Below are 13270 nucleotides of genomic sequence, written 5' to 3'. Positions count from 1 at the left end.
GCCCGGCCAGATTTTGCATTTCTAACAATCTCTAAGTGATGCCTATGCTGCCGGAACTGTCCTAAATGCTAGACAAGCCTCAGGCAAGGCTCTGAGTGATGATGACATGGTGGCCCCCTAGGGAGAGTTGCCCTCTGCCCTTGACTGGGGCCTGCTAAACACTGACCATGCCGGATTCTAAACCTGCTGCACTCATCACCTTTTCTCCATCCTTCTGCCCTCTGCCACCTCTTCCTTCCCAGATGAGTTAAAACCACCCCACGCCTCTGCTCCAGACATTGGCTGGGCTCCACCGAGTCTCATGACTCTTCACTCACCCGGGTCTAAGGTACTGCTTAGGTGAGGTGCTTTTCCAGATGGCTGATCTTGCCCCCACAAGCATGAACTTTATAAATTAGTTTAACTCTCAAGTTCCTGAGATGCCTCACTATCTCTCCCGGGTATCTCCCTGGAAAAATTTTTCACTGTTGGCAAAGCACTCCTTAGCCTGACCACCCACAGACATTATGATAATGCATAGACTCACTAGACAATTAGTGACCTGGAAAAAAGCCATGACTTTTTAAATTTTATTTTATTTTTCTGAGACAGAGTTTCGCTCTTGTCGCCCAGGCTGGAGTGCAATGGCGCGATCTCGGCCCACTGCAACCTCCGCCTCCTAGGTTCAAGTGATTCTCCTGCCTCAGCCTGCAGAGTAGCTGGGATTACAGGCACCCACCACCATGCCTGGCTAATTTCTGTATTTTTAGTAGAGACGGGGTTTCACCATGTTGGCCAGGCTGGCCTCGAACTCCTGACCTCAAGTGATCTGCCTGCCTCGGCCTCCCAAAGTGCTGGGATTACAGGCCATGCCTGGCTATGACTTATTTTATTTTTATTTCAATGCTTACAATGTCATGACTGACTTCTTACCTGCCCTACCTGCTTATCTTTTTAAGTTCTGGATACCCTGGTTGCAGAAAACTCAGACTTAACTTACTTTCTAAGTGAACTTTCTTACTACAAAAGTAATACATATTTGAGAACTTGGAAAATGTAAGCAAGAAGAAAGCGAAAACATGAGTGGCCATCACCCAGAGATAAAATTGTGACATTTTGCCTCATGGTCTTGCAGTCTTTATACATAAATTATGCTTTACAAAATCTGGCTTATGCTACATTCTCTCTTTCTTTCCTTTTCTTTTCTTTTCCTTCCCCTCCCTCCCTCCCTCCCTTCCTTCCTTCCTCCTTCCCTCCCTTCCTTTCTTCCTCCCTCCCTCCCTTCCTTCCTTCTTCTTTCCTTCCTTCCTTCTCCCTCTCTTTTCTTCTTTTCTTTCTTTTTTTCTTTTCTATCTTTCACAGGGTCTTTGCTCTGTTGCCCAGGCTAGAGTGCAGTGGTGCAATCTGGGCTCACTGCAGCCTTGACTTTCTGGGCTCAAGTGATCCTCCCACTTCAGCCTTCTGAGTATCTGAGACAACAGGCATGTGCCACCACGCCCAGCTAATTTTTTATTTTTTTATTTTTTGTAGCAATGGGGTCGCTAGTCTTGAACTCCTGGGCTCAAGCAATCCTCCAACCTCGGCCTCCCAAAGTGCTGGGATTATAGGCATGTGCCCAGCCAACATGCACCGTTTTTTTGTTTTGTTTTGTTTTGGTTTTGGTTTGTTTGTTTGTGTTTTTTTTGAGATGGATTCTCTCTCTGTTGCCTGGGCTGGAATGCAGTGGTGCAATCTCGGCTCACTGCAACCTCCGCCTCCCAGGTTCAAGCGATTCTCCTGCCTCCTTAGCCTCCCAAGTAGCTGGGATTACAGGCACCTGCCACCACGCCCAGCTAAGTTTTTTTTTTTTTTGTATTTTTTAGTAGAGACGGGGTTTCAACATATTGGCCAGGCTGGTCTCAAACTCCTGACCTTGTGATCCGCCTGCCTCGGCCTCCCAAAGTGCTGGGATTACAGGCGTAAGCCACCGTATCCGGCCAACATGCACCATTTTTAAGCTGCTTTCCCCCTCCATTTACAGTATACTGTGACCATTTTTAAAAGTCAATGAAAATCTTTCTATATCATTTTAAATGATTATGTAGTTTTTCACCTAATTGATGGGGTTTTGGAGTGTTTTCAATCATTTGTGATTAAAATAAAACTGCAATGAATATCCTCACTCAACCAAAATATATCTTTTTGATGCTTCTGGGGAATTACATGATTAGGTCAAAGTAGATGAACTTCTTTATGTTTTCTTATGTTGCCAAGCCAGAAAGCGTGACTTCCAAACTCTCAAATACAAACCAGGTTCTTTGGACTAAATCAGTGTCTCGAATCCCCAGTAACCTCAGTTAACCAGTAGTGACACCGAAAAGCAGGGAATTCCAGAGCTGAGAGGAACTTTGAGGCCATCGGTGATCATATACCTCGTCTCCAGCTCAGAAAGAGGAGAATTACTTAGACATTTTCTTTAGAGATCTAAAACTTCCCAAAGTCCACAGTTTTATTTTCACACAATTCTAGGCTAACTTAAAATCAGCATTTTTGCATTATTCTTTCATTCAATATTTATATATTTATAATGAGGGGGTTAGATCAATAGGGGATTGGTGAAGTGATTTATGGTACAGCCATTCAATGAAATCTGATACAACCATTAAAAAACCGAAGAAGGTCTTCTTTTTTTTTTTTTGCTCTGTCGCCCAGGCTGGAGTGCAGTGGTACAATCTCAGCTCACTGCAACCTCTGCCTCCCAGGTTCAAGCGATTCTCCTGCCTCAGCCTCCTGAGTAGCTGGGACTACAGGTGTGCACCATGACGCCGGCTAATTTTTGTATTTTTAGTAGAGACGGGGTTTCACCATGTTGGCCAGGCTGGTCTTGAACTCCTGACCTCAAGTGATCCACCCGCCTTGGCCTCCCAAAGTGCTGGGATTACAGGTGTGAGTCACAGCGCTGGGCCAAAAACCGAAGAAGGTCTTTATGTACTAATACAGAATGATATCTCAAATACATCATCAAATGAAAAAAGAAAAATGCAGAACAGTGTACATAATATGCACATTTGTGTAAAAAGGAGGTAAAGGAATACATAGATGTTTTGCCATGGACATGCTGTTTGTGTATGTATAAAACATCTTTGGAAAGATACACAACAAACTGATAGTATAATACTTTGATTTCCAGGGAAACTAGGTGGCTGCGAAGAGACAGTTTTCACTGTGAAATCAAACCATTCACATGCTCAACCATGTAAATATATTACCTATTTAAAAATCAAATGTGGGCACGGTGGCTCAAGTGTAATCTTAGCACTTTTGGCAAGTGGATTGCTGGAGCCCAGGAGTTTGAGACCAGCCTAGGCAACCTGGAGAAACCCCATCTCTACAAGAAATACAAAAATTAGCCAGCCACGGTGGCATGCACCTGTAGTCCTAGGTACTCAGGAGGCGGAGGTGGGAAGACTGCTTGACCCCAGGAGGTTGAGGCTGCAGTGAGCTGTGATCGTGCCACCGCACCCCAGCCTGGATGATAGAGTGAGACTCTGTCTCAAAATAAATCAATACATAAAAATTAATGTAAAAAAACACAAAATGCGGGGACTAGGGCATTTGATTACATCACCAAGCAGATACATTTATTTACTTGTTTATTTCTCAAGTATGGCTGAAAATGTCAGTAAAGAAATAAGGGGCCAGGCGCGGTGGCTCATGCCTGTAATCTCAGCACTTTGGGAGGTCGAGGCAGGTGGATCACCTGAGGTCAGGAGTTTGAGACCAGCCTGGCCAACAAGGCGAAATCCTGTCTCTACTAAGAATGTAAAAATTAGCCGGGCATGGTAGCGCGCACCTGTAGTCCCAGTTACTCGGGAGGCCGTGGCAGGAGAATTGCTGGAACCAGGGAGGTGGGGGTTACAGTGAGCCAGTATCGCCCCACTGCACTCTAGCCTGGGCGACAGAGCAAAACTACGTCTTAAAAAAAAAAAAAAAAAAGAAAGAAAAAAAAAAAGAAAGAAAGAGAGAGAGAAAGAAAAGAGGACCATAGGTACAAAAAGAATTTGAGCGGGAACAAAAGATGGGCCACGTGAACAGACCGGTTATAACAATAATAGTTCTGGTTAACATTTAGCGAGTTACTGTCTGCCAGGCCCTGTGTTATTACGCGATCTCGACACGTATTACCTCATTTAATCTACAGATCAAGTAGGTAGGTTATTATGGCCATTTTCAGGTGAGGAAACTGAGGCTGGCAGAAGTTAATTAATTTGCTCAAGTCTCCATCGGTAGTTAAACGGAGTTTGGATTCTCAGTGAGGGCTGAACTCTGACCTAGAAGTGTGCCTTGCTTGAGAACCCTGGCTCTTCAGGCAGACGCTCAACCGTCTCCCGACTATTTTTCTGCTGTATTAGTGGCCGCTTTTGTCAGTATTTTGCAAGAGCTATCTGTATTTTGGTTACAGGGACTCAGCATAGGGAAGGATCCATCTCGGCAGAAGCCAGGAGTCGAGGCAGGTCAGCGCACAGAGGACAGTGGAATCCGAGGGGATGGCAGGAGATCAATCGGACCCAGAACAGAGGCCTGCAAGGATGAGCGCACTTGATCCCCTCAGAGAAAAAGCCAGAGTGACTCACAGGAGAAAGACAAAGCAACCAAAGCTTCCAGGGTGTACAGGAGGTCCAAAGTCACCAGAAGGAAGAAGAAAACCTGAAACAGCGAGAGCTGGCCAAACGCTGCTAAGACCTATGCAAATAAGACCCACCCACGCTACCTGGAAATCGGGCCTGGGAAGTCAGAAAACAAAGCACATGCGTGCAGGGCTGCACGAACGGAGGCGGAGGAGGCGGCTCCGAGGGAGCAGGTAAGGAGACAGAGAGGGTCGCGGAGGGACGGGTCACAGGGCTCCAGAGTCCAGAGAGGCAGCAGCCGTGCAGCGCGCGACAGGTGAACTCTGGCCTGGGAGGGCAGGCTACTGGGTTCATCTTTCAAACTCAGCCACTCTTTAGCTGGGAAGACTTCGGCAAGTTGCCTCACCCTTCTGAGCCTTGGCTTCCCCATCTAGAAAATGGGTCTAAAAATAATCATGCTAACTCTGTATTGAGCGCCTTCCGTATTCTACTGGGCACCGTATAGACTATTCCTTCCCCAGAGCAACCTTGTAGGAGTGGGATGATTAGCCTTTTTTACAGAGGAAAATGAAGTTCAGAGAGGTTAAGCCATTTGTCCAAGACAAATTGTTCCAAATCTGGTTCCAAAGCCGGCACCTTTCTACTCCCCATTCAGCCTCTCTCACAGGGTGGTTTTAGAGTATCAAATGGCTTTCTGCAAACAACAACAAAAAATCCCAAAAGGCTAGTAACCTATCTAGATGGATCACCACACTTAGATCTTAGCAAGGGCCAGGGCCCTTTGTAAACTGTGAAGTGCTATGGAAATGCCAGTTCTTGGTTGAAAACAATGGAGTGATGCTGGGGACAATTGATATTTGGCGATGACTTGTTCATAGACCAAGGAGATGACTTTGGGGCGGTGTTTAGGATTTACTGTAGCTGAGATGTCCTGGCTTGGGGTGGAGGTGATACATGGCCAGAATCTCTCCCCAGCTGATCCTGAAACAGCAGTGGATCCCTGGGAGAGCAGCACAGATAAAGATCCAGGCAATAATGATGCTTCCTCCTCTTGGACAGCCTTTTACAGTTCTGGCCATGGAACTTCAGAGAAGGTAGGTCTGATTTGGGGGGAAACAGGAGATCTTGACGTGTAGTAATACAAGCTTACTGGATGGAGTAAAGTTAGAATTTTCAGGTAAGAGAATTAAAAAAAAAAAAAAAACTTATAATCTTGCCCCCAGAGATAACCACTGCTAATATCTGGTTGTTTATCTCTCCAGACATTTTTTCCATTGCACACACACTTTTGGAAATTGGATTATATGGTAATATGGTTTTGTTGCTGGTTCTTTTTCGCTTAATGACATTATATCCTAGGTATATATCCATATTAATAGTTTTACCACATCATATTAAAGGCTGCATAATATCTCTTCCTATGGATGGAGCAGAATCTACTTAATCAATGTCCTATTACTGGATGATGACGTAGTTCTCCATACGTCACCGTTAAACCAGCGCCTGGATGGGCATCTCTTTACTCACATCTTTGCAGAAGTCCTTGATGGTTTCCGTGGAATCGATTCCCAGTGGGGGAAATGATGAGTCAAGGTTACATACAGTTTACGGCCTCTGGTAAGTATTAAAGATCTGCTTCTAACACACTCTGGGATTCAGGGGCTTCTCAAAGCTTGATGCAGAGGACTTTGTCACGGCTTTGAAATCAACCTTGACCCTTCCTTTCTCTCAAATCCATTTGCATTAATAATTTCAACTGCCTCATATATCCATAACAATGTTTTGATCAACAGTGAATTACATATGTGATGGTGGCCACCTAAGATTATAATACCATATATTTACCTTGCCTTTTCTAAGTTTATGTTGAAAGACACACGCAATTATCATTGTGTTACAATTGCCTACAGTGTTCAGAACATAATAAGCTGTATGGGTTTGTAGCCTAGGAGCAACAGGCTAGACCGTATAGCCTAGGCATGTAGCAGGCTCTACCATCTAGGTTTGTGTAAATACTCTCTGTGCTGTTCATACAACGATGTGTTTCTGAGAACATAGTCCCATTTTTAGGTCATGCATTGCTTTGTGGTCTTTACTGGGTGCTGGGCTCTAACTAAAAGCTTTACTAGTTTTGGCTTCCTTTGCACAAGGAGAAATAGAGGCACAGAGAGGTCAAGCAATTCAACTGGAATCACAGCCCTAAATAGCCATGGATCTGGCATCATGAACCTTGACAGAAACTACAACTGGATCCCTAGAACTCCACTGCTTCTTGGGAAGTGGCTTTGATTCTGTCCCCAAAGATATCACTTATCCCATCCCCTTTTATCTCCTCTGCCACTGCCTAACCTGCACCACCATCACACGCCTGAGCCACACTGCTGCAGCCCGAACGGGTGTTCCCTTCCCGATCTTATCCCTCTCAGCCTGTCCTCTGCTCTGCAGCTAGAATGGTGTTTTAAAAATGGAAATAGGATCAGGTACCTTACCCTACCGCTCACCCCTGGAATAAAATCCAGATGAGCTCCTGAGTTCACAGGTCCCGAGTACTATACCCTCCCACCTTGCCTACTCCGGTCACCACACCTTGATCACCCTGGGCTCCTTTCACTTTCTCAAATTGGAAGAGCTTTTCTCACCTCGGGGCCACACATGCTGTTCCCTGGGCCTGCAACGCTCTTCCTCCACTGTGCGTGGCTGGATTCCTATATACTTTGGTCTCAGCTCTTCTGTCATCTCTTTGCAGAAACCTTCTCTGGTGGTCTCATTGGGAGCAGCCACCAAGCACCCGAAGCCCATTTTCCTTTTTGCCCTTTATTAACAACCATTAAAATTGTGTATTTATTTATTGCCCATTATTCATTAAATGTCTTTTTGCCTCACTACACTCTAAATGTCATGAGGTCAAAGACAATGTCTATTTTGTTCACCATAATACCTTGCACAGCACCTGGGCTAGAGTAAGCACTCAATAATGTCCGAGTGGATGAATGGACTGCAGAATAAAGCACTGGTGCAGAGCCCTGCTAAACTACCCTAGTTTCGCTTAGGGCTCCATCTCCCTCTGCATATCTTCATTTCCTCCTTCCCTGTTTGGAGCAGTGCCAGAGGTCTAGAAGAAAACCAGGAAGCCACAGGTCCGAGAGTATAAGCAGGTTTTGCTTCAGACATCGGCTCAGTCGGGGTAGATGATGTCATATCAGGGGCTCTAGGGAGACTCCCTTCCCCCAGATCCCCTCTTCCACAGTTCCTGGATTTCTACCATGAGTCTTCTGGCCGTGAAGGATTCCTGATCACATGCAAACACTTATTATCTAGCTAGTAACACGCACTGAGTAGGGGGACGGCATGGATGCAGCCTTCTGTCTTTACGAAAACCATGAGTCTGAAGACATGGGTCCCATGTCACCATTAACTAGCTGGGTGACTTTGGGTGAGTCACTTCTTGTCTCTCATCTGCAAAGTGAGTAGTTCAGATGGAGAATTGGTTTTTAAACTTTTTCTTTTCCCCAGCAGATCAACTCTTCAAATTATTCGAATGACCCATATGAGAAACAGAGAAAAGCCAAGTATTTCTGGTTGAAACGGAGAAGCTGGGCTGGAGTGCGCCTCCCTCCAACTCCCCGCTTTAACTCCCTAAGGTTGGTGGGATGGCCAGCTCTAAGATCTCAGAAGGCTGACCAGCTGTGTGCTAAGAACAAAGCAGAAGGCAGCGAGGTTTGTACACGCTGATTGCAGTTACTTAGGCACATTAAAAGATCAGCGGGTGACTGGACTGAATCTGATAGTCGGAGCTCTTAAGCTTCGAAGTAGGTGACTTTCACAGCAACCAAAGTGCTGAGCAGGCAGCCCCTTTGTGCAAGGAGGAGGTTCCAGCCACTTTCGAAGAGAAATGAGGGCCCCAGAGAGAGGAAGCCCAGAAGACTCAGTTACCCTCTTCACATCTACAAAGACGAAATTGCCACCCTACCTTTCCAGACCAGGGACTCCAGGTGTTGAAGGGACTGCCCACAATCTCACAGGTGCTTGGCTTCCAGGTTCAATTAGTTGCCATGCCCTGGGGGGAACTCAGGTCCCCCATCTTCCTCCCCACCCCACCCCCCAGGAAGCTCTCTGGCCTTGGCTCCAAGCAGGTGTGCTCAAGAGGCTGCCGACTGGGCCACCTGGCAGCCCCAGGTGCTGCGTGCATGCTGCCATGGAGACAGGCCCCTGGGTTGGTGGCAAGAAGGCAGTCTCCCAAAGCTTTGCCGATTCAGGGGAGGGAGCAACTGGAGCCTCAGGCCCTCCAGAGTAGTCTGCCTGACCACCCTGGAGCCCACAGAAGCCCAGGTGCGTGCCCTGAAGGTTTCCCAGGACAAAGGGAGGGAGGAGGAGCCAGGGTAGGCAGAGGATGGGGAAGAGGCTCTGGAAGGGGAAGAGGCTCTGGAAGGGGAAGAGGCTCTGGAAGGGCTGATCTGGGGACTGGGGCAGGGAAGCTTCTGCAAGGCTTCCAGGTAAGGAGAAAGGCCTTTCCAGGGGCTTCCTTGCCAGGCCAAGGACTGGGTGAGTAGGATGTGGAGGGTTGGCCCTCTAGCTCAAGGGGAGGAGGGAAAGAGGGCTGGCATTTGTCCCCATAGGAGGGACAGACCAGGGAATTCACAAAACCCATCTCTGCGCTAGTCAGGGATTTGAGGTAGCAGGGAAGGAAACATTTGTCCTGTAGCAAAACCCGCAGACTGCAGCTTACCCCCAGCTCCCTGGATTCAGGGCAGCCAAGGGCACAGACAATGACCATAAGGAGCATTTGCGTCCAGCTCCAAAGCCCAGGGCGACATCTGCTCCAATGCCGGCTCTCTTGGGGGCTCTTGGTAGGGGTGGCCCAGGCCTTCACCTTGACAGAGGGGAGGCTGTAGGAGCATTTGACTCAACTCGATGGGTTAGGAACTGGTGATCAAGAACAAAACGCTTTTGAACCTAAGTAAAACGTGGTGATTACACCTTTCAACACCCACAGAACACTTTGCCCCAGGCCAAGCACAAGGATGGGACTTCATGGCTGTTCCTTTGCTCCTTTCCCCCTTCTGCCAGGACGTCTCCCGCGAAGCCTCCCCGTGTGTGGCTGAGGATGGCTGAGCAGCAGGGCCGGGAGCTTGAGGCTGAGTGCCCCGTCTGCTGGAACCCCTTCAACAACACGTTCCATACCCCCAAAATGCTGGATTGCTGCCACTCCTTCTGCGTGGAATGTCTGGCCCACCTCAGCCTTGTGACTCCAGCCCGGCGCCGCCTGCTGTGCCCACTCTGTCGCCAGCCCACAGTGCTGGCCTCAGGGCAGCCTGTCACTGACTTGCCCACGGACACTGCCATGCTCGCCCTGCTCCGCCTGGAGCCCCACCATGTCATCCTGGAAGGCCATCAGCTGTGCCTCAAGGACCAGCCCAAGAGCCGCTACTTCCTGCGCCAGCCTCAAGTCTACACGCTGGACCTTGGCCCCCAGCCTGGGGGCCAGACTGGGCCGCCCCCAGACACGGCCTCTGCCACCGTGTCTACGCCCATCCTCATCCCCAGCCACCACTCTTTGAGGGAGTGTTTCCGCAACCCTCAGTTCCGCATCTTTGCCTACCTGATGGCCGTCATCCTCAGTGTCACTCTGTTGCTCATATTCTCCATCTTTTGGACCAAGCAGTTCCTTTGGGGTGTGGGGTGAGTGCTGTTCCCAGACAAGAAACCAAACCTTTTTCGGTTGCTGCTGGGTATGGTGACTACGGAGCCTCATTTGGTATTGTCTTCCTTTGTAGTGTTGTTTATTTTACAATCCAGGGATTGTTCAGGCCATGTGTTTGCTTCTGGGAACAATTTTAAAAAAAAACAAAAAAACGAAAAGCTTGAAGGACTGGGAGATGTGGAGCGACCTCCGGGTGTGAGTGTGGCGTCATGGAAGGGCAGAGAAGCGGTTCTGACCACAGAGCTCCACAGCAAGTTGTGCCAAAGGGCTGCACAGTGGTATCCAGGAACCTGACTAGCCCAAATAGCAAGTTGCATTTCTCACTGGAGCTGCTTCAAAATCAGTGCATATTTTTTTGAGTTGCTCTTTTACTATGGGTTGCTAAAAAAAAAAAAAAAATTGGGAAGTGAGCTTCAATTCTGTGGGTAAATGTGTGTTTGTTTCTCTTTGAATGTCTTGCCACTGGTTGCAGTAAAAGTGTTCTGTATTCATTAATTCATTCACTTATTCATTCCACGACCATTTACTGGGCTGGTGCTGAGTGCCAGAACTGAGGGAAGAGAAGAGTAGGATTATCCAGGGGTGGCAGATGGCCCTCACTAGCAGGAAGGGGTGTGCTCATTCAGCTGCTGCTTTTATGAGACCACCTCTTGCCAGCATGTAGTTCATGGAGTGTTAGGTGAAATCTAAAGGTGAACGATGTTAGATCAGTGGACTAGGGGAAGTCTGGGATTTGGAGGAATAGGTCTTTCTTCCTCCCGGCAGATACAGAGGCCCTGATTAGAATGGACATGGGGTAGAGTTCTGATTCCCTTCCCCCAAGCTCCATAATTCCAGCTTCAAGAAGATGGAAACGCTGGACACAGGCAAAAGTTTAACTCCCATCCCAGGCCATGGGAGGCAGCGGGGGAACCCTAGCTTTCACTTTACATGATAGAATCCAGGAACCAATCAGACAGAATTTGGGGGCTCAGGCTGTTGCTTGGTAAGTTGCAACCTTGCAGTGTCTAAAACTCTGATTTCTGTTTCCCCAGTTTTAACCTTGCCTGGTGGCTCAAGGCTCTGAAACAATTTTAAAGTGGTTAAGATACCATCACAGCCTGGGCGCGGTGGCTCACGCCTGTAATCCCCAGCAAAGATTAGCTGGGCGTGGTGACGCGTGCCTGTAATCCCAGCTACTGAGGAGGCTGAGGCAGAAGAATTGCTTGAACCCAGGAGACAGAGGTTGCAGTGAGCCAAGACTGCGCCACTGCACTCCAGCCTGGGCAGCAGAGTGAAACTCTGTCTCAGGAAAAAAAAAAAAACGATACCATCACACACAAAAGATACCATCACAAATATGTAAGGATAACATTTTGAGGTTTTGGGGGTTTTTTGATAAGCAGAAAAAGCGTTCAGAGGCCAGAATTTGAGTTGGTTGATTTGCTCCAAATAATGTTAGATTCCCCCCAGGTGTTTTAATGTACAAAATACTCCAAAATATCCAATACGTATATTTCACATTTAGAAAAACCAAACGGTTTAAGCTCCAATATGAAGAAAAAGTCTCCATTACAAAGTTGCAAAACTGCCTACATATTCCTTTAGGGGACTAGCAACTATCTCTCCATTTGTGCCATCAAAGATAATTACACTAAAGCTGGGACTCCACCTTTCCCCATTGACTTCATTTCTTTACACAGTGTTGCTCCTTAAACTTGTGGCAGATAAGTTAGGCAATAATCTCACCATGTCCTCTGAGCTAAGCGGACAGGCGAGGGCAGCTCAGGACAGGAGAAACTGAGAAAAGCCCAGGAAGGAACACTGGCCTCTGCACTAGGCCTACTAACCTCAGCAAGCTTAATCCCCAGTTTACAGATGGAACTGAGGCTCCACCTTGTTCAAGGCCACCCAGCTAGTAGGTGGTAGAGTCTTTTCAGTCAAAAAAGAACTTAGATCCTTGGAGTGGTTGATACACCACCCAAATAAGACAAGATGTAAGTTTGAGGGTTTTTCCGATAGGTGAGGATATACAGTCATCCCTTGATATTCAGGGGGAAATGGTCCCAGGACCTCCTGAAGATACCTGAATCCGAGGATGCTCAAGCCCCTGATATAAAATGATGTAGTGTTTGCATATAACCTACACACATCCTCCTCTATACTTTAATTCATCTGTTGATTACTTACAATACCTAATACAATATAAATGCGATGTGAAGTTGCTATACTGTATTGTGTAGGGGATAATAACAAGAAAAAAAGTCTGTATATGGTCAGTAGTGTATTTTCGACCTATGGTTGGTTGAATCCTAGAACCCGCTGATGGAGAGGGAGGGCTGCCTGAACATCATGGTGTCTCCTGTTTTCATATTCGGTAGCTCTAGCTTGGGGCAGTCCCATCCTCTTCGAATGTATCTGGAAATGCATGGGAGCATCTTTTGTAGTCAGTGGAGGGGGTGAATTGCACTGCTGACATTTAGGGCTCAGAGGTCTGGGATACTAACACCTGCTGCAATGCTTATGTTGCCAGTTCCACAGGATGAAAGATCATCTAACCAAAAATGCAAATAGCTATCTTGTTGACAATAGGCTCCTCATCCGTTCAGGATGTGCGAGAGTTACTTTAACATGGGCATGAGCTCAGAGATGGAAGTGACTTGTCAAAAGTGCAGTATACAAGCTGGGCACGGTGGCCCGTGCCTGTATCTCAGTTACTCAGGAGGCTGAAGCAGGATGATCATTTGAACCTAGGAGTTCATCTCATCTTTTTTTGAGATGGAGTTTCACTCTTGTCACCCAGGCTGGAGTGCAACGGCACGATCCCGGCTAAGTGCAACCTCCCCCTCCCGGGTTCAAGCGATTCTCCTGTCTCAGCCTCCCGAGTAGCTAGGATTACAGGTGCCTGCCACTACGCCCAACTAATTTCTGGTATATTTAGTAGAGATGGGGTTTCACCATGTTGGCCAGGCTGGTCTCAAACTCCTGACCAAAGTGTTGGGAT

At 47.4% G+C, this 13270-nt stretch overlaps 1 protein-coding gene across 15 annotated transcripts, besides 3 other annotated features; it reads left to right on the top strand.

Moving 5' to 3' along the window:
• Nucleotides 124-293: an enhancer, noted in NCBI's record as "experimental_106330 CRE fragment used in MPRA reporter constructs". NCBI's record gives its function as "activates a minimal promoter by MPRAs in K562 erythroleukemia cells, with activity observed for both the introgressed and non-introgressed 9:116069947 or rs71503561 variant alleles {active_cell/tissue: K562}" and the evidence as "EXISTENCE:reporter gene assay evidence [ECO:0000049][PMID:34662402]".
• Nucleotide 208: a transcriptional cis regulatory region, noted in NCBI's record as "Neanderthal adaptively introgressed variant 9:116069947 (GRCh37/hg19 assembly coordinates) or rs71503561 in the experimental_106330 CRE". NCBI's record gives its function as "modulates activity of the experimental_106330 enhancer by MPRAs in K562 erythroleukemia cells {active_cell/tissue: K562}" and the evidence as "EXISTENCE:reporter gene assay evidence [ECO:0000049][PMID:34662402]".
• Nucleotides 2059-2228: an enhancer, noted in NCBI's record as "experimental_106329 CRE fragment used in MPRA reporter constructs". NCBI's record gives its function as "activates a minimal promoter by MPRAs in K562 erythroleukemia cells, with activity observed for the introgressed 9:116068012 variant allele {active_cell/tissue: K562}" and the evidence as "EXISTENCE:reporter gene assay evidence [ECO:0000049][PMID:34662402]".
• RNF183 (ring finger protein 183) lies at nt 4499-10782 on the top strand. 15 transcript variants are annotated; one of them, NM_001387568.1, is made up of 6 exons: nt 4499-4819; nt 5562-5680; nt 5849-5893; nt 6020-6203; nt 8100-8303; nt 9654-10782. In NM_001387568.1, the coding sequence occupies exon 6, from the start codon at nt 9691-9693 to the stop codon at nt 10267-10269; it is 579 nt and encodes a 192-aa protein (NP_001374497.1). In that variant the 5' UTR covers nt 4499-4819; nt 5562-5680; nt 5849-5893; nt 6020-6203; nt 8100-8303; nt 9654-9690; the 3' UTR covers nt 10270-10782. The 15 variants fall into 15 exon arrangements, with proteins under 15 accessions (NP_001374497.1, NP_001358166.1, NP_001374498.1 ...); NM_001371237.1 differs by lacking the exon at nt 5849-5893 and having other exon boundaries at nt 6124-6203; NM_001387569.1 differs by lacking the exon at nt 5849-5893 and having other exon boundaries at nt 6124-6203; nt 8100-8915.

The sequence above is a fragment of the Homo sapiens genome, chromosome 9 (genome assembly GCF_000001405.40).
Source record: "Homo sapiens chromosome 9, GRCh38.p14 Primary Assembly".
Taxonomy (NCBI): domain Eukaryota; kingdom Metazoa; phylum Chordata; class Mammalia; order Primates; family Hominidae; genus Homo; species Homo sapiens.
The sequence above is the reverse complement of the archived record's forward strand: the minus strand, read 5'-3'. Positions and strand labels throughout refer to the sequence as shown.